This window comes from Homo sapiens, chromosome 20 (genome assembly GCF_000001405.40).
Source record: "Homo sapiens chromosome 20, GRCh38.p14 Primary Assembly".
In the NCBI taxonomy this organism is placed as follows: Eukaryota; Metazoa; Chordata; class Mammalia; order Primates; family Hominidae; genus Homo; species Homo sapiens.
In genome coordinates, this window is record NC_000020.11 from 52,646,043 (window position 1) to 52,672,929 (window position 26,887).

Consider the following 26,887-nt stretch of genomic DNA (forward strand, 5'->3'; position numbering starts at 1 on the left):
GACTTTATGAATGAATTAATCCATTCATAGATTAATGGATAATTAATTAACATAGGAGTGGGATTGGTGGTTTTATAAGAAGAGCAAGAGAGACCTGAGCTAACACATTTAGCCCCCTTCCCATGCTGTGCCCTGGGCCATTTCAGGACTCTGTAGTCCCCATCAGCAAGAAGACTGTCACTAGCTGCACTCCGCTGACCTTGGACTTCTCAGCCTCCATAACTGTGAAAAATAAATTTCTTTAAAATTACTCAGTTTCATGTATTCTGTTATAGGCAATAGAAAACAGACTAAGACACATAGTAAGTGCTCAACAAATTCTTAGTAATAGTATCACCCGGTTTTCCGTGAAAGATAAAGGAACAGATGTGAGATTATATTTTTATTTCACAGCAGGAATGAGTACTTTTTGTTATTTGTATGCTTGATTTTCTTTTTTTTCTTCAGGTCAAGAGGAACAGCATCGATTGTTAATATGCTGTCTGCTTTCAACCCCCAAAGGATTATTTTCAGAATGAAATGATCTGTGGTCTTTAAGGGGTGGGGATGGGAGGAGCTGAAGAACTCTCGATCCTTCGAAGAGGTCCCAGTGGACTTGATTTCTCAGTGGAAACAGAGGGATTTCCTTCTGCAGTGGGAAAGAGACACGAAGTGATAAACCGAGCACCCTCTTTGAAGATTTCCCAGTATATTTGTCCCTAGAGGAGTGCGCCTCCGGGAGATTTATTGTTGGAAGCTTTTATCCTCAAGCGTAATTTTTAGAAGTATGTATTTCCCTAGAAACAGAGTAGCTCCATTTAAAAGTCACAGGTGCCCCCAAGCTCTGCTGGGAAGATTACTTCAAGTTTCATTTAATACCCATCTCAGACCTGGAGGCAAATTATTTAGTTCATCACTCTGAAAATGGATTTTTTTTCCCTTCTACTTCCCATTTCAGCACCTGCCATCTTGTGGAAAGGGACTTGCTTCCCAAGAGATGAGAAATGGACAGGAGTGGAGCCTGAGTCCAAGTACTGTGATTTCTTATCTCCCACAAATGTGCAGGAATATTTAGTCAGGGAGATCATCTTCCTGGAGAAATTGGCCCATCCTACTCCTAGAGTGCTGTGTTAGTTGTAGTTCCTCCAGGTGCCACCTCGAAGACCAGGGTCAGAGTACAGTCGCTTACATGGGAGGTAAATCCACAAAACAGTGGCGGAAGAGGGGGAAAATGAGACAAGGATGGGAAGGCAATCAGGAAAGGGCATGTTATCAAGCAAGGCACTGTTCTGGGCAATTGGAGCTTACACCTGCTAGGGAAGCCTGAGACAGTGGGGAACATGTACCTCACAGTGATGCTCGTGAGGGCCGGGGGAACTGGGATATTAATCCACCAATTCCATCTGTTACTGATTGAGGGCTGCTTACTGGCGGTATTGATTCCCTGGCACTTCAGGTCAGAGAAAGCCTTCGGTCATAGAGAACATGAAGCCATGGGGCCCAGAGTGCCCAGGGCTGAGTGGATGTGGGCGATGGCCAATGACAATGGCTACCAACAGTGGATTGGATCTTTGGCATCTCATTTCTTCTAAGTCTCCTTAACCTCTGTGCTTGGTGCTGAGGTGAAGCAAACAATTAAGATCCAGTGTTGTCCTTAGGATGCTCACACTTCAGTGAGGGAGTTGAGGAAGCTAAACAGGTAAGCAATTTTGAGCCTGTGAAGTTAGTAGTCTACGAAGATATATTTAAGAATATGTGCATCGTTTGTGATATGCATATTATTTGTCAGGCTGTACTCTAAGCATTTACCTTGACTAACTTATTTGATGCCCACAAGAACCCTCTAAAGTGGGTGCATTTGCTGTCTCTTTTAGAGATAAGGAAGTGGAGGTATGGAAACATTAAAGTGTTCAGCTAGTCTGTAGTGAAGCCAGGATTTGAATACAGGCTATCTACTTCCAGAGCCCTGTTCTTATCCACTAGGCTATGGGTCAGGCTTTCTCAACCTTTATTATTATTGCCATTCTGTGCTGAATAATTCTTTGTCATAGGGGCTGTCCTGTGCATTGTAGGATGCTTGGCAGCATACCCTCTACCACTAGAAGCCAATAGTACCTGCCTCCCCACCTCCTGTTCTGACAACCAAAAATGTCTCCAGACATTGCCAAATGCCCACTGGGGCACAAATAGCACCAATTGAGAACCACTGCTGCCTATTATAAGGCAATCAGTTTTTCCTAGGGAAGTGTTATAGAAGGCAGATGGAAATTTCTTTTCTTGTTGTTTAATCTTCCTTCTCATAAAAATAAGGAGAAAAGTAGTATTTCAGAGCTGATCGCATCTCTAAATCAACAGCCAAATATCTCCCAGGGCAGAGAAAATGGAAGTAGAAATCAAGTTATTGAAAAATCAACTTAAGTTTGTGTGTGTGTGTGTGTGTGTGTGTGTGCACCTGCGTTGTAAACAGGGCATCCTTGCCCACTGTGCTCTGCTGCCAGCCCTTCGAACAGGCTGTTTCCATGGTCATTTTTAAAATGTTGTCTTGCAACATGGTGAACTGAGGAATTAGCAAAAAGACCGTTAAAGGAGAATAGGCAGTGTGTTCACACGGGATTGTTTGTCTTATTATTTTTCATTTTCCTTGGGCGATTTTATTTGTAATTTTTTCGGAGTTTTGTTTTGAACTCTCTTTATCCAAGTAAATACATCCTTCTTCCTTCTGTCACAAGCTGGTGGATTCCAAGCTTTATTTTCCAAATCCTCCCAACCCTATTTTATCCATGTGGCTTCTTGGAGCTGGTCAAGTCTGCAAACTGATCCTTGAGATTTTGGGGTGTTCTGTGTGAGGACAGTAGCCCTAATTTTGGCATTAAAGCGTCCTTGTTTGTCTCCTTTCTTTCTTCTTCCAAGATACTCTTTAAAAATTCAGTCTTCTCCAAATTTGGCTTTGTAGCTAATCTATGTGATCAGAGAAGCATCATTTTAGTGTTGGAAGCCTGAATAATTCGCTTTTTCAGTTGGTCGTGGAAGTAAAATTCCAGATGTTTAAGCATTCTTTGTAACAAAGCTTTTTCATGTGCCTGTGGATAATTTACTAAGCAGTGCTTTGTGAATCTGCTTGCTTCTCTATGACAAATGCTTTTGATGATCGCTGCTCATGCTCATGCTCAAATACATAGTCACTCTAATGACTTAAATTACTTTTGCATGGTATTTATGGGAGGTGAAAAGCCACCATGGTCAAGATCGTTGACTCCGGGGTTAGATGGGACTGGGTTTGAATCCTGACTTCACTACTATCAGCTGTGTGAGACTAAGCAAGTGTGACAGGCAGAGTAATGGCTCCCTGAGGATGCTAGTGTCTTAATCCTTGAAACCTGTGAATATGTTGCCTTACCTGGCAAAAGGGACTTTGCAGATACGATTATGTTAAGAACCTTGAGGTGGGAGATTATCCTGAATCATCTGAGTGGAACAAATGTCATCCCAAAAAGGAGGTCAGAATCAGAGAGGTTAGAAACTGCTAGCATGTTGACTTTGAAAATAGAAGAAGAGATGACAAGCCAAAGAATATAAGAAGCTTTTAAATGCTGGAAAAAGTAAGAAAATGGACTCTCCTCTAGACCTAGAGCCTCCAGAAGGAACACAGCCCTGCTGACACCTTGATTTTAGCCCAATGTGACCCAGTTTTGACTGTTGACCTCCAGAACTGTAAGATTATGAATTTGTGTTGTTTTAAAGCCACAACATGTGTGCTAATTTGTTATAGTGACAATAGGAAATTAATACAGCAAAGTGATGCAATCTCTCCTAACCATTGTTTGGTCATGTACAAAGTGGAATAATAACAATATTTACCCCTTCAAGCTATTGTAAGGTGTAGAAGAGAGAGGCACTTGGCACTGGGCCCAGCATAAAGTACATATTTAAAGGTATTGAATTAGTCATGGGTTTTTTATTTTGCCATACCTTAGCAGTTCCATCATCCTTCCTATTATTAAGTTTCAGAAATACTTATCTGTGATGGCTAATTTTATGTGTCAATTTGGCAAGGCTATGATGCCCAGTTATTTGGTCAAACAGTGGTCTAGATGTTACTGTGAAGATATTTGTGAATGTGATTAGCATTCAAAGCAATTGCCTTTAAGTAAAGCAGATTGCTTTCTTCATAATATGGGTGGTACCTATTCTATTCGTTGAAGGCTTGAAGAGCAAAGACTGAGGTTTCCAAACGAAGACACCATTATGTCTCAAGACTGGAACATGGAAACCCTGCCTGAGTTTTCTACCTGCTGGCCTACCTGCAGATTCAGACACTAGACTGCAACATCAACTCGTACTTGAATTTCCAGTCTGCCTGTCTGCCCTACAGATTTTGGACTTGCCAGCCCCCACAATTGCATGAGCAAATTAAAAAAAAAAATCTTATTTCTCTCTCCCCCCATCTCATTGGTCTTTTTTTCCCTCTGGTGTACCCTGATTAATATACCATCCAAACTAAATGCAACATACCAAAACATTTAGGAGCATGAAAAAAGAAGAGGTTAGAATGAAAAGCACATAACATTAAAACTTTCTATTTTGTTAAGAACCTTGCATTTCCTCGCTGATATTTAACCTGAGGACTACACCTCAGGTTTTTTCTTTCAGCTTTAACTCAAGAATGTATAATTTGTATTATGCTAATAACACAAATAGTATCCCAGCAAAAACAAAACCAAACAAAACAACAACAACAACAACAAAACTGGGATGGTATTGTGATGTCTTTTATAATGGAGTTTGACTTTGGACTTAAGAGTTGATATTCAGCAAGGATGATTGGTATTGCCGTACTAGTTTATATGTTGCTCCTTCTCTAGTTTCCTCTGAAGATCCCCTACCTCATCCTGGTCACCTAAGGTCCTACACTAAGACTCCTTATTGATCAAGCAGCTATAGAATGAAGAATAAAGAGTAAAGATTAAAGAAAAAAGCCTGCACACGGGAATGTCTGTTCTGATTGGTTAGTGCCATGTGAGTGCTATGTAGGTTGCTGATTATTTTAGTATCACTCCTGCCTAAAAGTAATAGTTAAGGAACAAAATGCAATAAAGAATTGCTCAACTATCCAAATTGTTAATATCTATAAATGTGTAATTTCAACAGATGTAACTAGTTTAAAGGAGAAATGGGTAAAAATGTGCTTATTTCATTTTTCTTGGATAAAATTTTAAATCCTCATTTTCTAGCCACTCTTCTTAGGACTTAAATACTGTGTCTCTTGTTTACTTTTTTCTTTAACAGACAGAAGTGTGACTATTTTCAATCGGACAAATATTTAGATTTTCTCCTCTGAAGATAAGTCCCAGTGTCTCAATTGCTAATTCACTTACAATTCTTCTCTATAAATTATTTCACTATTGGCCTTGGAAGAAAAGACCAACTCATTCATATGACTGGAATTTCTTCCCCCAATTTCATAGAGGAATTCATTTTCTAAACACGAGGATTTGATCAATAAACAACTTGCAATCCCTAGGAGGACTTTAAAGGGATTTAGATTGTCAAACATTGACTCAGGATTTGTTCTGGTAGTTGTTAAAAATTACATAAACATAAGTTTTTTTTTAACCTCCATCAACCAAAGAGTGAGTAGTAGGAGAAGAGAAGACTTGGACTTGTTATTGATTAGTTGCTATACATGCTCTTCCAGAGAAAGTTAATCAACAAGGTGTTGACAATATTAGCACAGTCTTACATCTCTCTTGGAAATTATTGCTCACAATTGCAGAGTTGCTGCTGCATCTCTCCTTCCTGCCAGGAACCAATAGAGGTGAGCTTGTTTGCTGCACACCAACAAATTTTCTAAGAGCCTGTGGACCATTCCCATCCACCAACTAAGTGCTGTAGTAAAGAGAGGCAGAACTTCTAGGCCAGAAGAGGGAAGTCATTCCCTAACACACTCTCCATACTAAACTTCCTGATGTAAAAGGCCACATCCATCTTGTTAACCTAAATTCCAAGTACCCAGATTCCATACATATCAAGGTTATGTGTATAGAAAAAAATATATGGAATGATTTGGTTTTTCCTATATGTTGAAATCACATTTTAGGAAAGTGCAACTTAAAGTAAAAACACCATCTGTCAGTGGGAATTATGTAGTCTTTGATAAATGTTGGGAGTACATAAAAAGAAAACACAACTTATCAGGAATTTATACATAAAAATTATTTTTAGGGGAATTTAATTTAAAACAAAAGATGAGCCACATTAAATCGATTAATATTGCCCTATACATGTTAAATCTTACTTCAGAGAAGTTATATATATAATTAAAAAATGCAATATTTTATGTAATTACTTCTCCTTTAAAAGGTGAACTTTGTACTTCTGAATGATGAGATCAAAAGAGCCACTAAGCTCTGCTATCAAAGGCAGAAATGATGCAAGGGAATTCCCTAGAAAGGGGAAGTTATACAGTTGAACTGTTTTTACTTAACAATGCTTCTGACACCAAATCAGAGGTTTCTTTTCACATCAACGAATTATCCAATTCTCTGAACACCAGCTAGGTGTCCAGTAATTCAGTTGATCTCTGACACCATCTACCTGGAATTAGCAACAGATTCAACAAGTTAAAGGGCTCAGACGCCAATTGCAAATCCCAGGTCACCTATACTTCTGACCAACCAGCTGTATAGACTGGGGGTTCCCACAACTCTCTCCTCAGTTTTGACAGTTTGCTAGGATGGCTCACAGAAGTCAGGAAACCACTTAACTTACTTCTGCTGGTTTATTATAAAGGATAAAGATGAGCAGCCAGATAAAGTGGTACATAGGGCAAAGTTTAGATGAATCCCGAGTGCAGCATCTCTCTTCATGGAGTTGAGGTGCCCCACCCTCCTGGCACACGGATGTGGTTGTGAACTGGAACGCTCTCTGAACCTGGTCATTTTGAGTTTGTAATGCAGGTCTCGTTATGTAGACATGATTGATTAAATCGTTGGCCATTGATGATTGACTCAATCTCTAGCCCCTTTCCCCTCCCTGGAGGGGGAGGTTGGGAGCTAAAAGTTCCATGCTTTTAATCAAGGCTTGGTCTTTCTGGCAACTATTCCCCATCCTGAAGCTATCTAGGGACCCACCAAGAGTCACCTCATTTGAGCAAAAGATGCTCCTGTCACCCTTATTATGCAGGAAATTACAAGGAACTTAAGAAATATGTGTCAGGAGCCAGGACAAAGACCAACTGCCTTTCTATGGTACCCCAGTAGTGCAGAGAGTGGAAGGCAAGCTCACAGCCAGCTCCCTCAAGTCCATGTTGACATTTGGGATGCTAGGTGCAGAAGGAAAGAGAGCAGTTGCAGTCTATCGGAGACCTGAGAATGATAATTCTTCAAGTGGATAAGGAAGGAATAGAATATGGACTGTATTCCATTAAGAATCTTGACTTTTACTTTTTCAAGACACCATTCTTTCGCTTCTTCTAGCCAAAGATATCACATAGCAAAACTGTGAAATAGGGCTTAAACAGGTAAGTTCTATAAGTACAAAATAACATAAAAATGAGCAATAATTAATATGGTTCTCCAGTATCTACTGCATTCATTAACAAGGAAATAATAATTTTCAACTCATCCTCACAACCTCACCTCAATGAAATTTCCTCTCTGTTTTATTTCTGATACCAATTTTTAAAGTTGTTTCATTCTCTTCTTACTCTCCTACTTATTTTTCTAACATTGCTTCCCCTGTTACCCTCTGTCACTCTTTGGATTTTTAGTGTTGTATTTATGTTTTCAAACATACTAATTAGTTAATTACTATTTAATCCTTCCATTTGGTGCCCTTGGCACCTTATTCCCCTCACCCTAGTCCAGGCACTGGCTTATGCTGTGCCAGCCATAGGAAGGAAGAACAAGAGCCATTTAGTATAGTAAGTAAAGATGACATGACTTTTTAAAATAAAATGGAATGATGACTGTTTTAACCTTATGCTCCTCTCTTTCCAAGGATAAAATATTACCATTACTTATCAAAAATTAAAAACAAGTTTAAATTGTGGGTAAGGACTGCCTAAGAGCAAAATTTTTAAAAAATGGTTAAAAATCACAAAGGAAACATCAACAATTTAAATAAATTTTCTATACTTTGAAAGCAACATAGACCGCATTAAAAAGCATACTATAAACATGGATAGATAGGTGCAACATATGTGGCACATGCATTGTAAATATATTGACTATTGAAGAACTCATGTGAACCAATTTTTCAAAACTAAAACCTGTGGGAGAAACATGGGCAAATACTCCATTCACATAAGAGGAAATACAAGTGGCTAGTAAATATTTGAAAGTGCGTGACCCTAACAAGAAATAAATTCATATTAAAAAGGTATCTTTCTGCCTATTCTATAAACAAATACAGATTTTAAAAAATACCAGTGCTGGGGAACATTTGGTGAATCTACTCCAGGAGTGCCAAATATGGACTATTTTTATTTCTCATCATCTCCCCGAGATGAAATTACCCTTTGCTTTATCTCTCTCCTGATTTAGCTCCTGTGGGGACTAGTTCACCAATCATAATTTCTAGGACCTTCATGTTAAATTTATATTTAGAGTCTCTTGACCTTTCCTTGTCCCTGTGCATTGGTTAAGGCTGCCATATCCTATCTAACAGTTTTCCCTAACTTTACCCTCGAAAGAGGAACTTTGTGAAAGCTGCTTTACTTCCTCCCTGGAACTCTGCCTACTAAGGGAGGAGGCTGCCACACCAGGTGACCATCTTGTCGCAGTGTACTTGGAACTTTCCCAGTTTTATCACTGAAAATCCCTGAGAAAACCCAGGCAAACTGAGATATTGGTCACTTTTCCCATGTGACATTAAATAGAAGATCCTGGTATGCCCCTTTTTCAATATGTTAGTTTTCTAGGGCTGCTTTAACAAAATATTATAAACCAGATGGCTTAAAACAACAACAATGAATTCTATCATAGTTCTGGAAGCTAGAAGTACGAAGTCAAAAGTGTCAGCAGCATCATGTTCTCTCTGACAGCTCTAGGAGAGAATCCTTCCTTGAGTCTTCTAGCTTCTGATGCCAAGGCAAGCAACTCTTGGTATTCCTTGGCTTGGTAGATGCATCACTCCCCTCTTTGCCTCCACTGTCACATAGCCATCTTCTCTCTGTGTGTCTTCATATAATCTTATCTCTGTGCTGTGTCCAAATTTCCCCCTTTGTATGAGGACACCAGTAGTATTGGATTAGAACCCATTCTAATAACCTCATCTTAACTTAGTTGAATTTGTGAGGACCCTATTTCCAAATAGGGTCACATTCTAAGGTTTTGGGGGTTAGAAATTCAGCATATCTCTTTTTGGAGGACACAAATGCCCAGTCCTGCATTCTTTGGTTCTTGTACAATGAATTCTTCAGTGTAAATCATGGAAAGTTGTAAGTGCAGGATTGAGACATTTGTACTTCATCCACTAGGCATCAATGAGTCACTGATGGCTTCTGAACAAAGAAGTGACATGCTGTTAATGTCATTTGAACAACATTAACATAGAAATAGTGTACATGATGGATTGGCTCATGATGGAAGCTGGTTATTAGGACCATGAGAAATCTCCTGGGCCTAGCGCCCAACTACAATCACTGCCTGCTGCTGAGCTCAGCCTTTTGTTCGGGACAGAGCACGCATCTTCTCAAACCAGAAAGGCCTATAATTGCAGTATGTAGACATTCTTTCCAGCAATCAGAGCTCAATCCTAGTTGATCTGCTTCTAAGGGGTACTGCTCTGTCTACCCTCTTGTGAAAGACTTTCTTATCAAATAATAGGTAAGAATTCAATTTCTTACCTATTTCCTCATGCTCAATCCATGTCTTAGTCTGTTTTGTGCTACTATAACAGAATACCACAAGCCAGATAATTTATAATGAACAGAAATTGATGTGGCTCATGGTCGTTGAGGTTTTGAAGTGCAACAGCATGGTGCTGGCATCTGATGAGGAGAGCCTTCTTGCAGCGTCATAACATGGTGGAAAGTATCCACAAGGGCGAGAGAGAGCATTTGAGGGAGCACAAGGGAGTCAAACTTCCTTTTATAACGAGCTCACTCTTGTGATTCTAAACCCACTCCTATGAAAGTAACATTAATCCCTTCATGAAGGAAGAGCCCTCATGACCTAATCCGCTCTTAAAACCTCCCCACCTCTCAAAACTTTCACATTAGGAATTAAATTTCCAAGACAGGGACTTTAAGGGACATATTCTTTTTATTTTTATTTTTTAGATGGAGTTTTCCTCTGTCACCCAGGATGGAGTGCAGTGACGTGATCTCAGCTCACTGCAACCTCTGCCTCCGGGGTTCAAGCAATTCTTGTGCCTCAGCCTCCTGAGTAGCTGGGACGACAGGCACACGCCACCATGCTAGCTAGTTTTTGTACTTTTTTAGTAGAGACGGGGTTTCACCATGTTGGCCAGGCTGGTCCCGGACTCCTGATCTCAAGTGATCCGCCCACCTTGGCCTCCCAAAGTGCTGGGATTACAGGCATGAGCCACTGTGCCTGGTGGAGGGACATATTCCAGCCATAGAAGCCCACATGCTTATTTCTTCCTGCCTGTCTTAAATCTTTCAGTGTCAATGTTCCCTCCTCTCCCCCAGTGGCCATTCCCATGTGTATAGCCAACCACACTGCAACCTGCACTGCATCTGATTTCTAATTGGGGCATACTTTCTTCTTGCCTTCGTGGTCTTTGAGATTACTTTACATTCTTCTCCTCAGTCGCATTCCTTTGACTTTGATCATGGCATTTTACTTTGATCTCAAGATTAAAACTCTTAGTTATGAGCAAATTATAGGCTTGGGTTAGCATCTACTTGCCATGATTTCTGGCCTATGTGTTACCTTAGCCATTTTTTCTTGACAATGTAACTCTTGCGTTTTCACTCTGTGAAGGGATTTTATTTCCTGGCTCCCTGAAAATTAGCAGTCAGGAAAGTCTTAGAATATTGACAGTGGAGGGGAGGATGAGGTTAAAATACCCAATACCTAAGATTCGAGCATCTTAGCCCATTGTATTCCTTTTTCTTAGCGAATCTGCCCTATTTATGGCTTAAGAGCATTAGCCTTGAAGCCTGATCTCTGATGTCAGCTGCTTGAACAAGGAATGGACACCCAGCCAAGACTGACTATAAAAGACAGTTTCTTCCTCCAAATTTAGAATGATGCCAAGACTGGATTAATTAACTGGAGTGAAGCTCAAACTTCACTTCATAGACTCAAGGTTTAAGGCTGCTGTTTTGGACTATCTATGATGGGTTACCTGTAAGTGTGTTGAACATATGAGCCCCTCTTCAAAGGATAAAGAATGAGATATGTATTCATTCACTTGACAGATATTGACTGAAAACCTACTAAAATGCCATCGTCTGTTTTAGGCTTTGAAATTATGAGAGTAGCATGGCCTAACTTCCCAGAATGTGCTTAATTGAGGTGAGAGGAAGAAAATAAATAAATAACGCCATCTGAAATTATGTTACAGAGTCAAAGGCAATGAAGAAAGGGTAAGAGAATAAGGAGATAGAGAATAGGTAGAAATTGGGGGCAGGGGACCTTGCTACTTTAGATAGAATAGCTGCAGAAGATATCTATTAGAAGGTACTACTTGAGTAGGAATTTGAATAAAATGAGAGAGTAAGCCACAGGACTATCTGGGGAAAAGACGTTGCAGGCAGAGGATGCAGGTGCAAGATCCATGAGATGTGAGCATATATAGTGGGGCAAGAAAGCTTATGTGGCTATAGAAGTGAGAGGGAGGGAGAGAGTTATAAGGTCTGAGACATAAGCAGTGGCCAGATCAGGTCACTGTCATCATGGTGATTTTATTTAAAGCATGATGGAAAACCATGGAATAACATGACCAGATTTATATAGATGTGATTTTTGTTTGTTTGTTTGTTTTTCTTGTGACAGAGTCTCAAGGGGACTGGAGTGCAGTGCTGGAGTGCACCCAGCTGGAGTGCAGTGGGGCAATCTTGGCTCGCTGCATCCTCCGCCTCCCAGGTTCAAGCGATTCTTCTGCCTCAGCCTCCTGAGTAGCTGAGATTACAGGTGCATGCCACCACGCCCAGCTAATTTTTGTATTTTTTAGTAGAGATGGGATTTCACCATGATGACCAGGCTGGTCTCGAACTCCTGGCCTCAAGTGATCTGCTCTCCTCGGCCTCCCAATGTGCTGGGATTGCAGGCATGAGCCACAGTGCCTAGCCCAGATTTATATTTTAAATGGTTCACTCTTGCTATTATGTGAAGGACAAATGATGAGAGAGGAGTGAAAGAAAGGAGGAGGGAGAGAGAAGAAAGAGTTGACTACTTGTCTACTTTATAAGTCCTATAAGTCTTCGCTCTGTCTTCTCTGGTCTGAGAAGTTCTTGTGCACACTTAGGATATATAATTCCTTACTTGGTTAAATTAAGTGTATTTCTACTTTTTTTTTTTGAACAACCAAATTGCTCCCTGATTAGGACACTCTCAAGACCCTGAAGTATGGTGAGATAATACATGAAGAGAGGAGGGGATGACTATGAAACATACCATGGTGATACATTTATAGGGCCTAATTATGTACTATTTTCAACTGGGTGCTGAAAACATAATTCAATTTATGGAAAGACTCATTCTACAACAGTAGTCTCAACTGAGGACAATTTTGCCCTCCAGAAAACATTTGGCAATGTCTGGAGACATGTTTTGATTGGGAGGAGGGTACTGCTGGCATCTAGTGGGTAGAGGCCGAAGATGCTGCTAACCATCCTGCAATGTCCAGGACAGCCTCTCACAACAAAGAAATTTTCATCTCCAATAGTCAACAGTGCTGAGGTTGAGAAACACTTCTCTAGAATATTGTGGAAACAAACAGAATGCACTCAGACACAAACATGATTATTTGTCATTGGGGCTTCTTGGACCTTTAAGATATCTCCTCTAAGTTGAAGGAAGGAGAAAGGATAATGAAAAATATACTTACTGGCTGGGTGTGGTGACTCACTCCTGTAATCCTAGCACTTTGAAAGGCCGAGGCAGGTGGATCACTTGAGATCAGGAGTTTGAGACCAGCCTGGCCAACATGGTGAAACCCAGTCTCTACTAAAAATACAAAACTTAGCTGGGTGTGGTGGCGTGTGCCTGTAATTTCAGCTACTCAGGAGGCTGAGGAAGGAGAATCGCTTGAACCCAGGAGGCAGAGGTTGCAGTGAGCGGAGATCACGCCACTGCACTCCAGTCTGGGCAATAGAGCAAGACTCCATGTAAAATATATACCAGCTTAGGTGTATGGATATTACTGAACGTGGCCTCTCCTCTGTGGTCCATTGGTCTATCATCTTGAAGAAGTGAAGTACCTTATAAGAGGATCAGTTTTCTAGATAGAGGAGGAGGACCCACTCAGATGCTGATAATAAATTTTGAGAATGGCCATCTTGCAAATGCATCATTTCCTAATTCATACCCTTTGCTGTAGTTTTGCAGATAGGCATCAAATATTGCCGAATTACCATCAATGGTTCCTATAGAAGACAAGTGCAAATAAAAAGCAATCAGATTGATGCCAAATATTTATCATTAATCTTCATAAATAAGTGGAAGTAAAACTCATTGTAAGACTAACTTAACAATTTTCCCTTTATGTCACATTGAAGCCTTAATGTACTTGCAAATTCAATTCAGTAAATAAATGTTTGTTGAATTGCAAATCAGTCCATTTTGATTCTTGATAAAGAAGTGGGAGAGGAAGAGACTGACTGGTGATTTCAGGCTGGGATTCACCATATAACTACCCCAGAGGAGAAAAAAGGGCCAGAATACCACCAATGCAGGCAGAGTGTTCACCTCTAGTGGTCCCAGAACCTTCATTTTATCTGTTCACTTGGGAGAAGATTGGTGTTGTCTCACCACCTTTACAAATCCTCGGGAGGGGATGGGGGCTGTTACCTGGACGTATTTCTGGCAAATTTAACAAATCTCTTTTACACGTTGTTATCATCATTCTTTTCCTGTACATTCTGAATGATAGTTATGTATTTGACAAATATTTATTAAGCATCTACTGCATTCCAGGTACATATCTGTGTACTGCAGATGCAACAGAGAACAAAATAAGCAAAACTTTCAGATCTCCTGGAGCTTGTAGTCTAACAGGTGAGGCAGACAATAAACCAGATGTTTGGCTAAAATATGTGTATTTGAGATAATAATATGTTAAAGAACAAAATGAAGGAGGGTGGCGAGTAGGGAATTTCTCTGGCTAGGATAAGAGGGTTGTAACTTTAGATAGGTTGGCTAGGGAGGGCTGGGCTGAGACAGGTCTTTTAAGGGAAGATTGTAAAGAAGTGAGGGAACAAGTTCTGAGGTTGACTAAGAGAGGCAACTTCCAAGTTCTTGGAAGAGCACCTGTTAGTGCTCCAAGAAGGATCCATGGCTGGTGTCTTGGGAACATTGTGTTTCTGGTTGGTGCGCCTGGAGTAAGTGAAGGGGCAATGGGAGGAAGTGGGATCCCGGTGATGCAGGTCTCATCGGTCATTGCAGCGATGTTGACTTTAATGGCAAGTGACATAGAGGCCAGTGGACTATTCTTAGTAGAAGGGTGCCTTGACGTGAGTTGCATTCCAACAGGATTATTTTGGCTGCTGTGAAGATAACATGATGTGGGTCAGGCAAGTGAGGAGTCCAGTGTCATAATACATAGGAGCAACATTGGTGGCTTAGACAAGGGAGGTAGAAATGCATGGGGCTATTTCCCAACACAATATGGTTCTTTTGTCCACTTACTCTTGTTTCTTTATTTTTAGCAATAGTTACTAATTCATAATTCCTGTTGACATTTCCTACACTTTCATGAGTTTCTTGAGCCCTGTCTGTTTCCCCGGTTCATTATTATCAAACAGCTCAGCTGTGATAGACTGCTGATCTTCATTTTCATATTGATTAATTTCATTTTTGCATGCATCACCCGCATTTCCAGCATCTTCAGCACAGTTTTCAGATGATGAGTCATTTGCGAACGACAGATTTTCATTATAGGAGTCATCTTTGGAGCAGGATGTGTTGGACTAGACTCAGGTAAAATGTTTGCTCAATTCTGCTTAGCCCTCTCTCTCATGAAATGGGATTTGATGGGTGTCTTTGAGCCCGACCACTGTCGAAATAATTACAAAGCTGTTTTCTCTTATTTATTTGCTGATCAACTGGGAATTGTGTTGTTTTACATGGGAAATGTAATTCCAGCAGTCACTACTTTTAAATGAAATGATAACTCTTCTGCATTGTGATTATATAACATGCTCATTATGAACTGAGGACGTTGGTCCCTTGAGTCTGGGTTCCAGACTGGGTCAGTGGTGGGAGGAACCTCACTCCAGCTCACCCCAAATTGGTTAACAGAGGTCTTTCATTTATGGTAGGGGTTGCAAATTGAAATACTTCTCAAGATTCATCAGCCAATGTAACTGGGTGAATCGGGCATATGTAAGAAAACAGGGACTGGAGGGTACTGTCTCACTGAACTCTACAGGGATAAGCCAAGATCAGTGCCATTTGCTTGTTATCCTGCCTAAATGTGGTTTCAGTATTAACAAATTGCCTTAAAAGAAGCCAGAAATCTGGATTATTATGGACACTCTGATATTTAATTTTTTTTCACGTTTAGAGCAACAAAATAGGCCTTTGAACCGGACCCAGTTCAAGTTGTCTAGTTTGTAACTCCTTATTCACAAAGATACCTTTGCACTTTCTGTACTTATGATGCTTCTTTTACCTACTTTCAGTGAGAACAACGATATGGGACTCTGTATAGTTGAAGCTTGCTATAACAGACAGTAAAGAATCTTACTTAGGAAAAGTAACAAAATACTTTTTCCTTCTGCTATAACAAAATACCATAGACCAGGTAGCTTATAAACAATAGAAATTTGTTTCTCACAGTTCTAGAGGCTGGAAAGTCCACGATCAAGCCATCAACAGACTCTGGATCTGGTTCACAGATGGCACCTTCTTTCTTTGTCCTCACATGGCAGAAGGGGAAAATGAGCTCTCTTGGGCCTGTTAATAAGGACATGAATCCCATTTTTGAGGGTTCTGCCCTCATGACCAAATCACCTCCTGAAAGACCCCACCTTCTAATACCATCACCCTGGAGGTTAGCATTTCAACAGATGAATGTTGAGAGTCACAAACATTCAGACCACAGCAGGGTGGTTATCTAACATACCCATGTTCTGACACTGGCCCCTGGAGGACTGAGTATTGAATCCTGGCCTGAACTGACCCTTAGGCTCTTGGTTCTGTGCTACACTTCCCACCAGTGAGTCGATGGTGTTAGTAGAATTGAACTCAAGACCCTGACTTCAAATTCTGTGTTCCTTCCTTCTTTCCTGGTCCTTCTTTTCTTCAAAATCCAGTGCAAGTATCCACTTGAGTCAAGCTTGGAGCACCACTGGTTTATAAGGAAACTTCTTCTTTGGATCATCTTTTCATGGCCGCAGTAGGATTTAGAACAAACCCAGGATCTGAACTGAAACCAATGTTGTCCAATCTCAGTGCTACAGCTAGTCTGCTTGGCAACCAGAGCCCAGGCACCGTAGCCTCTGAGACTTGTGCTGCAGTCATTTAGGAAAATCTGTCTTGATCTATTTGTCTCTGTCTCTGTCCCTCTCTTTCTCCTCACCAATACTGTCTCCATTTTAATTTTTGAACTTTCAAAAATGCTTTAGTTATTACTGGTAAGTATAAAAGTTGTGCTAATGAAACATACATCTAGAAAAAGGTCACCTAGACTTTCCAAAGTAAAAATTGACTTCATGAAGAGCCAGCACCACCAGCTTTCAGCCCTGGATAGTGCTGCTAAATGTACACCTTAAAGTGGGTAGGCATTAGCTGGGATCATTTGAGATGCAGATTCTGATTCAGTAGGACTAGGGTGAACCTGGACTTCTGCTTTTCTTAGGAGCTCCTGGTGATGTTAATGAGGCTGATCTGTGGACCATACTGAGTAGCAAGGCTCTATAAAATTGCTATCTCATCTCTCTCTTCCTCTCTCTCTTCATCCTCAATTATATGTTTTCCTTCAAACATCAACATTCAGAATAAATGAGAAGTCATGTTTTATTCAATATATTTATTTTTCTGTTTTGTTTAAAAGTGACTACATTTTAGCTATACTATGAGTTAAAAAGACTTTCTGTGTGTGTGTAAGGAGGGATAGCTTTTCCAGGAATGAAAGTACCATTGAGACCATACTTTGCATGATCCCAGATCAAAATGGCCAAAATAAATAATAATTATAAAGATATTCTTATTATGATAATGTTTATTGGACATATTCTTTGTTAAGCACTGTATTAATGTTTTTAATGTTTAACTTAGTACATCTCGTTGTTCATGATAACCATATGGGTTGGGAACTGTTGCACCGATCTCAAGTTTATAAACGACACACACAAAAGCAGGGTAAGAAACTCTAAGGAACTGGTCCAGGGTCACAGAGCGGGAACATGGTAGAGGCAGGATTCAACCAAGGCCTGGGATTATTCAAAACTTCAAATCCTGCAGAATTTGGGGGCATGCCACCTGCAGACTGAGTATACCGTGTCCTCAATGAAAATGACAGAGGGAAGTGTTTTGTTGGTATCAGCCCTAAGGCTTCTGGTCTTTTCTTGTTGCTGGGTTTTCCAGAGAGTGTCCAGCTTCAACCTGTTTTCTGGAGTACTGGGACAGGTATCTGGGTACCAGAAGTGACCACAACAGGATATAGCAGGTGAAGGTTAGCCCAACCAGGAAGTAGACTAACAGTTGAAAGAGGTTCTCAAAAGGCATGAGGAATCAAAAGAAAAATGCATGAGATGCATTTCCTAAATAGTCCAGTTGTTGGGGTTCTCCCATGCTGAAGGATTGAGGAGAGAATATGATCAAACCCTTGCTGAGGATTTGGCCATTGACATGGGCTTCTGGTTAATCAGGCCGTTTCCTAAGAAGAGTCAGGTCAATACCATAGGCAATAAGGGTCCAGGTGATCCTGCGGACAGGGCATTTAGGGAGGCAGCTGAAAGGCCCTCTACCAACCAGGCATGAGACAAATGTGATTCTCTGCCATCCGCAACCAGCCCAGAGAGCCCGTCACCACCAACAGTATAACAAAATGATGAAGAGGGTGAGCTCTGGAGCCAGACTCAGCTATTAACTGGCCTGGGTCCTTGGGCCCTTGTGATACTCAAATTCTTCATTTGTAAAATGGTATCTTCCTGATGGGACCGTTGTGAGAATGAAATGAGGAATTATTTGACTATTGTAAGTGGACTAGAGATAATCCCTAATTTTCTTCACTGTAATATTTCTGGACATAATGTTTCTTTATACAAAGAAGGGACTGAATAAATATTAATAGTTCTTACATGAATGATCAAATAAAGACCCTGCTCATAAAAGCACTTAGTACAGGACTTAGCATAGAGTACAAACTCAGAACTTTGCTAGTATAAACATGAAATTTCACACATGAGAAAGACTCATTAAGACCGGGTACTGTCAGGGAAACCCAACAGTTAGGAAATAATTTTATGATGCAAGCTAATGTTTAAATAATGCTTACTGTCTGTGTTAGACACTCTTGTAACCAAGCATTTAATATTCATCAATACACTAAATTCTCTAGACACCCCCATGATGTACAGGGTATTTTTACACACCCACCTCATCTTGCAGATGAGAATACTGAGGCATAGAGAAGAAAATTATGTCATTTAAGACCACAGATCTCATAAATGGCAGAGCTTGGATTTAAAACCAGAAGGTTTGGCTCCAGGGTCCATATTCTCAATCACTATCTACCATTGCTGTTCATTTATGAGACTTCCAGGGTGTGAGGACTTGCCTCTAGCCTTGTACCTCTTTGAGCCCACCCTCATCTCCATTCCAGAAGTAGTCGGGCTCCTTGGAAAGAGAACCATGTTAGCAGGGAATTGTCTGTAGAAACTGGGGAAGACCATGTGGGCTAAACTGGAAATGTACTTTTTCATACAAATGCTTTTTAATAATCAAGCATAATTAAGATTAATTAAAATTAAATTATGGCTCCTTTTCCATCACAAAAGCTGTATTTCTAGTTGTTCAATGGAAAGATCATACATAAAGAATGCAAAAAAAAAAAAAACCAGGTAGTATTTGGCAACACTGGTCATAAAAAAGAACAATGAAAACTTGTTTATTTCTTAACTAAAATAAAAGTGGAAAGAAGTTGGAAGATGGTGTTTTAGGAAGTTTTAAAAATCTTCTTTATAATCTTTGTTTTTTAACTCCATAATAATAAATATTCACAATATTTTAATGAGAGAATGTGTTTTTATAAAGAATCCTCCCATCATGGTGATAATAGAGAAACCTTGGTTATTGACTCTCAATGACAGCTTGTAAATGACGTATAGAAAAATCTGAAAAACCTGGAAGCTTCTTTTTTTTTCTTTGAGGTGAATCCCTCCATCTGGCTCTAGATCCAGTCTATCCTACCTTTCAGAGATATCAATGTATAAATCATCTCCTCCTCATCTCATTCCCCTTTATCAATTTCCTCTCATCAGCATTTTAACTTGAACAAAATCTCTGCCATCTTAAAAATGCTTCTTTTGGTCCTATGTTTGCCCATATTGCCCTGTTTCTTACTCATACTGAATATTATTTTGTACTATTAAAATGTTTATCATTTAATAATTATCTACCATTTTATAACTAAATTTAACTCATTTATATTTATTAATTGAACATCTATATACCATTGCATTGATATCTTTCCTTTACTAGGTATATATTTTTTAACTTGACTGTTATTAGTGGATTGGATTTACTTATTTTTGTGTTTATATAGTAGTTTCATATAGTAGTTTCACAGTTTTATATTTTATGTCTATGTTTTGACGCTTATATGTACACTTTAAATCACATACACAGAAAAGTATCTATCCAGTGTATCCTGAGTCAGTCAGTATCCTCTGAGCAGGAAAGAAACCTTAGTATGTTTCACTCTTCTCCAGTCTCGCTTCCTTATCTATGATACAGTGACCTTTCAAAATTTCAATTCCAGAATCACATTAAAACTATTCACACTTTAGAAGCATTTGGCTTGGCTATGCTTCTATCCAGCCTATCAAAGTGTGAATGAAGAGGTTGTATTAATTCTGCCATCTTTTAAAGTTCTATTTCTTTTTTTTCCTTTGTAAAGTTTTTATACATTTTCACTTATTTATTTTTGTTGTATATATTTGAGGAGTACAACATGATGTTTTGATATACATTACACAGTGAAATGATTACTATGGGTAAGTAGATTAACGTATCCATCCCCTTCCTTATTTGCCTCGTTTTTGTGGTCAGAGCACCTAAAATCTACTCTCTTAGACAATTTTTAGTATACAATATTATTAACTATAGTCCTCATGCTGTACATTAGATATCTAGACTTATTGCTCCCACCTACTTGCAAGTTTGTACACTTTGACTCATCAGGTCTCATTTCCTTCTCCTCCCTGCTCCCGTAAACACTGTTCTACTCTCTGTTTCTATGTATTCAACCTATTTTTTTTTTGATTGCACAATTTGACCTTATGTTTTACTGGTTTCTTGTTTTCTACCCTTTCTTGTATGTCATTTTCTTCTACCATAGATTCTTTGGTAATTTTCCTGTGGCATATCTTCAAGGAACTCAAAGAGACTCTGTGGATGGTAAGGTTTCTGATTTCTTACGTGTTAGCAAATAGTCAAGCGCCTGTTTGATCAGATCCATTATCTTCTATCTTACAATGTTGTCTAGCCCACAATGATAGCTAATGACAATCAGAACTTTAGCCTTTAAAGGGAAATGACTTTAGCTTTTATATTTTCAGGTTTTTATCTTTAGTTTTTGTTCCAACATTTTATCATAATGTTTATAGGGATGGGTCTTTTATTGCCATCAGTTTTTCTGTTGCTGAATGTTCAAAGGCCCCATTCAATTTAAAGATACTTTTTATTCTTCAGCTCTAGAAAATGTTCTTTTATTATGATTATTTGTTATATAATTTTCTTCTTTCCTTCTAGAACTCGTTCTTGAGAAATAGTGGAAATTTTGGGTCTATATTCTATGCCTTTAAAATTATTTTTTTGCATCACCGTGAGCCAAGATCATCTCCTCATCCCAAGATCCTTAACTAAATCATATCTGCAAAGACCTTTTTTTCCACCTGAGGTAATATTTACAGGTTCCAGACCTAGTATCTTTGAGGGTCTTTATTCAGTTTCATAAGGGCCCTTTTTGCTCCTTCTGATTGTAGACCCTGAGGCTGGAATGTTATTATGCGCCAAAAGTCATGACGTTGTCCTCATCCATCTGATCCAGCTTTGCTCGGCTTTCTCACGTTCTCCACCCTTTCTCCTTTTTCCCCGCCATTTTGCTTCCTTTTCCCACCCATTCAATCTTTCCAAGCACTTACCTCTTTTCCTTTTTCTTTTCCACTCCCCCTTTCTCTCCTCCTTCCTTCACCACCTTCTTCTTTCCCCTCACTTTTACCTTCTTTCCCTTCCTTCTTTCCTTTCTGCATTCTTTTCCCCTCTACTCCTCCTCATCTCCTTGGTGCCTCCCCTCCACCTTCTCATTCCCCCTTTCCCATCCTTCTTCCACTTCCCTTACATCATATTCTCCTTCTCACAGGTTTTCTCTGCCTAATATCTCTACAGCTCCAATCAAATATTCTCACCTTGAACCACATCAGGAATTCTTCATCATTTCTGGTTTGCTGAATTTATTTTTTGTTCTTGCTTTCTAGGATCTTGATTCATTTAATTGTAAAAAAGAAAAATCAATTTCTGAAGTTACATTAAGTTTTTGCAGGTTGGCTGGACACGGTGGCTCACACCCATAATCCCAGCATTTTGGGAGGCCGAGGTGGGCAGATCACTTGATGTCAGGAGTTCCAGACCAGCCCGGCCAACATGGTGAAACCCCCTCTCTACAAAAATTACAAAAATTAGCCAGGGGTGGTGGTGCCTGCCTGTAGACCCAGCCACTTGGGAGGCTGAAGCAGGAGAATCACTTGAACCCAGGAGGCAGAGGTTGCAGCAAGCCAAGATCATGCCACTGCACTCCAGCCTGGGCGACAGAGTGAGACTCCATATCAAAAAAAAAAAAGTTTTTGGAGTAAGGAATAATATTCTTTACAATTTTAATACCTGGAAATGCCTTTTTATTTACGATATTTCTTTAGACTGTGAACCTCTCATAGGAAAGACTCTTCCATATTTGTTTTTATTTACTTAATGCCCAGCACATGGTGTTACTCTTACATGTTTCTGAAATGCATGTCATTGTGGATTTTGTGTAATGAAATGCATATGGTTATTTTAACTGATCACTCAAGTTGATTAGACTGCCACATCCCACGCAAAAAGAGGGTGCTCAGAAAGCCAGTGATTGGATAATAATTTGAGAATACTCAAGTTTCTAGTAGTCCTAATCGGTTGAACCTAAAAATGCCATTAACCCTTTCTCAAAGAAGCAGATTGGAGGTGAGTAGCAGTTGTGTGGCTTTTTGGTATGCAGCTGTTCACTTTCAAAACTTAATTTAAAACAATAAAAAATAGACCTCGAAATCATTTTGTTTCCCTATTTATTTAATGTGATTTATTCTAAATGTGTTTCATATCACCATAATGTATCGGAGCTCAACCACCACCTGTTATTTTGTAGGGGAAATAAACAAGACCTCTCTCATCAGATGAGTTAATTACACTGACATATTCACTCCTCCCCAGAGATACCATAAACTAAAATGCTGCAAAGCTTTAATTCAAACAAGCAGGCTGGAAACAAGAGCTATTGCAGTGGTATAATTTTCTTTGGGAGAATCAAAAGCTCAACACAGACTTGAACTTCAGGGGCAAAATAGCTGGAGTTGATCAAATGGAGGCTTGTCTAGGGTCGCATAATAAATCTGTAGGTGAGTTGAGCTTGAACCCATTTCTCAATATTATGGCACTATTTTCCAACCTTTGTGCTTCTGAGCATCATGTGGTCATTTTTAAAACTTGTTTCATCCCGTCATTTCTCCCTCCTCTCAGGTATTTGTCTGGGGCTGGCTGTGCACCCAGAAGGCCATTCGTTCCATGAAGAACATGACAGAGGTACCTGGTCCTACCTGGATTCTTGGGCATGCGGGCAGCAGCAGCAGCAGCAGCCACAGTGAACTTCATCCTAAGGAAATTAAGCACACGTTGCGTGAGGCTGCTGTGGGGGTGCCAGGTCAGATTCTCCAGTGGTAGAACCTGAGATGAGAATTCATGGGCAAGGATTTACTGAGAATGTTCCCCCAGAAGAATTGTGTAGGGTGATGGGAGAAGCAGCCCAGGGAAGGGAAAGGAGCCAGCCAGGCAAGATGTGACTTCAGGCAAATCTCAGCCTCAGCCTGATCCTATGGGGAGCTCAGGAGTGTAAATCTCCCCCCAGATTTTTTTCTCAACTGGCAGAAAAAGAAGTGGGGTTTCATACTCCCCCTACAATTGGTCCTTGCCTAAGAGCCACTGGGAGAGGCATAAACTCCCAGGCACTTCTGGTTATCTTCCCTGTAAGCAGAGCAGCCCTCATAGCCTGCGGCAGCTCCTTAAAAAGAATCACAAGTATAGGAAAGTGCCCAAAGAAGGGGGGGAAGTGGGGATAGGACCCACAGGAGACTGTAAGAAGGATTCAAGGTGGTGTGAGAGGAGAACAGCCGAGTCTGCTGTCCCCAATAAGGAGTATTGAGTACTCTGTGCCTACAAGGTGGGAGCTGGGGGAGGAGCCCCACCCCAAGGCAGAGTACCTACAGTCTATATAGATTTTAAGGACCTCTAAAATATTTGAGATCTAAAAACTAAAAAAATAATAATAATAATAATTTTAACATATAAAAAATTCACTTGAAATTAATGCATTTATTAATTCAACCAATATTTGCTAGATATCTACTAGGTTCCATTCTGTTCTAGGTGCTGAGGTTTCTGTAGTGGATAAAACACAAAAATACCAGCCCTCATGGTGAAAATGGAATGACAATAAACAAGATAAATTAGATCTATGGTAAGATAAATTAGATCTATGGTATTGAGGAGGGAGGTGGGACTTGACTCTGGAGGCTGGGCTCCGATGACACCAGACCAAATTGAAGACTAGCTAAAACAGGGACCTGACGGAAGCAGCTTTCCATAAGACACCTCACCCGTCTGCCATGTCAGGTTTACCACTGCCATGGCAACACCCGGAGTTACCACCCCTTTCCATGGCAACGACCCAAGGATCCCAAAGTTACCACCCTTCCTCTGGAAATTTCTGCATCAACTGGCCCTTAATCTCCAAGTCATTAAAAGTAAGTGTAAATATGGCTGCAAAACTGCCCTGAGCTGCTACTCTCAGCACACTGCCCATGGGGTAGCCCAACTCTGTAGGAGCAGTCACAGAGATGTAATACTGCCTGAGCTATAACACTGCCACTTCAATAAAGCTGTTTTCTTCTACCCTACCACTGGCTCACCCTTGAATTGTTTCCTGGGTGAAGCCAAGAACCCTCATGGGCTAATCTCCAATCCGGGGTTGCCTGTCCTGCATCAGCATCCTATGTTCACAAGTTCCATAAAGAAAATAAGGCAGGGGAGGAGAAGTAAGTAGGGTCCATGGTGGTGTGGGCAGGTGTGAGTTGTACTTTTAAATAGGGTGGTCAGGGCAGCATTCTCCGCTATACGTAATGATTGCTGGGAACTTTTGGGCAAATGAGTAACTCGTAACTAAATAAGTAGCTTAATAAACAGTCTTTCCACTTGTTTTTCACAAAATACATTTCAGTTAATATGCAATGGAAGCGGGGTCACATATTGTACAATTCCAGGGAGCTCCACTCAAAAGTGGGCTTGTCAACATGGCAGCCCAGGGAGTGAGTGCATTTTAATATTCTTGACATAATACAAGGTGGTACCTCCTATGACAAGAATGGCCAGGATTATGAAAGTCTTAAAAGAGCCCTTCTCACTTTGGTCACCTAGCATTGCAGGTCTGCAAGTCAAATGACAGGGCACCCTAGGAAAAGTGGTGTTTGCAAACTGAACTCTTGGAGGTAGATTGATAAATCCACAAACCAATTTATTCATTTACAGCAGGTGATGTAGCTGGCACAGTAACTCTGTCAGTCTCTTTCCTGGTATTGACTTACCTGAGGAACCAAATTAATTATCAGAAGGTTGCTCTGCTAAGTATGGAATTAGAAAGAAAGGAAATTGGATGGTCTTAAGGGATTGTTCTTACAGGCTTGGATAAATCCTGATAAATTGCCTTTAAAGAGAAAGGAATGTACTGCTCTTTGAGAACCTGGCTCAGTCGTCACCACCTTCTCCTTGAACTCTGATGCTGACCCAAGTTTGTCATCCAAGGCTTTTAGTTTATACTTGTTCTTATATTACCTGGTTTCAAAAAAAAAATCTAAATTGCATTGTAAATCAATGAGATTTTAAGTGTGCTGTGTTCTGACTGTGTCCAGGGAGGTATTTTAATCTCATGGATAAATGGTAATCTTTCATCAGAGATAATTTCCTCTTTTTGATCTTTCTCTTTATTCCTTTGTCTGTCTTGCTTTTAGGTCCTTTTTCTTTTTTCTCATCACCATAGCAAATGTCTCAAAAAACTGTGGTTGTAAAATATGCAGATAACAACCACGCCTTTATTTCATCATAATGGTTAGGAGCACACGCTCCAGGTAAATCCTGGTCCTTCTTGGTGGCTGTATGATCTTAAGTAAGCCCATTTTGCTTCAATTTTCTTATCTAGAAAATGGGGATAATAACACCCATGTTATAGAGTTATTCTGATGATTTCTAAGAGTCTCAGAGACCTAGGATCCACAAAATCAAAAGTATGTTCATAAAAATATTAATAAGTAATTTGCCTTTTCATGAGTTGACTTTTGGAATAATGGTGCAAGATCAATGCTGGGTAGACTGTGGTGCCTTAGTACCACAAGTGGTACTAAGTGGTGGCACCAACTATGCTAGAAGTCTTGGTATTCTGCACCACAGCATACTTGCGGGGGAAAAAAATGAAACTTAAGAGCAGACTTGATGAAGTAGTAACATTTCTTAAGTTTATTAAATCTTGATATTTTTAATGTTCTGTGTGATAAAAAGGGAAGTGTATATAAAGCACTTCTGCTATATAAGGCATGATGGTTGTTTCTAGGAAAACACTTGTATGATTGAGTTGGGAGCTGAAGTAGACATGGTTTTCATAAAACATCTTTATTTGGAAGAATGACTGACAAATTATGGTAATTCAGACCTCAGAATCTGGCAGATTTTTTTTTTTTTTGAAAATGAGCAAAATAAGTATCACTGCAAGGAAAACAGCAAGTGGTATTTGTTGCCAATTATAAAATTCTTCTTTTCAAGCAAAAATGAGAATTTTGTAAAAGTTAAACTCACCACTGTGAGCTTGACAGCTTCCCCATGCTTAAATTCCTTTCTGATAAGAATGGTGGTGATATGAAATATGTCAGTATCTGGAATATCTTCATAACTTGCTAAGTCAATATTTTCCAAATGACCAATGTGTGATGTTACAAAATCATGCATGCATTAAAGGTCTATTCAAATTGCAAGATAGACCAAATGGATTTTAATGTAGCAGAGTATGAAAAGTCTATTGAATATGATTTCACATTCCACATTGTAGTAACCTTTAAAAAATTATTACTTGTTGAGTTTTGGTGTAGTATCAAAGAAGAAAATCCCTACTTATCTGAAAAGCTTTTTATAGTACTATTCTAAGTACACACATGTGCGGGACTGGATTTTCCTCATACGCTTGCCTTAACCAGAACAACATA

The 26,887-nt window shown here is 39.8% G+C and overlaps 3 long non-coding RNA genes across 5 annotated transcripts in view; all 3 read left to right on the forward strand.

Annotated features, from left to right (window-relative positions):
* The window catches only part of LINC01524 (long intergenic non-protein coding RNA 1524), a 29,589-nt gene extending 25,205 nt beyond the window's left edge, over positions 1-4,384 (forward strand). Inside the window, exon 3 of the long non-coding RNA NR_110038.1 lies at positions 448-4,384. This is a non-coding gene — a long non-coding RNA (long intergenic non-protein coding RNA 1524). The remainder of the gene's footprint in view (positions 1-447) is intronic.
* Positions 1-26,887, forward strand: part of LOC105372666 (uncharacterized) — a 483,513-nt gene that overhangs the window by 435,400 nt on the left and 21,226 nt on the right. For all 3 annotated transcript variants that reach the window (XR_007067652.1, XR_001754670.2, XR_007067653.1), the window contains 2 exons: positions 23,106-23,286; positions 24,009-24,099. This is a non-coding gene — a long non-coding RNA (uncharacterized LOC105372666). The remainder of the gene's footprint in view (positions 1-23,105; positions 23,287-24,008; positions 24,100-26,887) is intronic.
* Positions 14,055-15,750, forward strand: LOC105376985 (uncharacterized). The gene is made up of 3 exons (XR_001754672.1): positions 14,055-14,168; positions 14,992-15,089; positions 15,431-15,750. It is a non-coding gene; the product is annotated as an uncharacterized LOC105376985 (long non-coding RNA).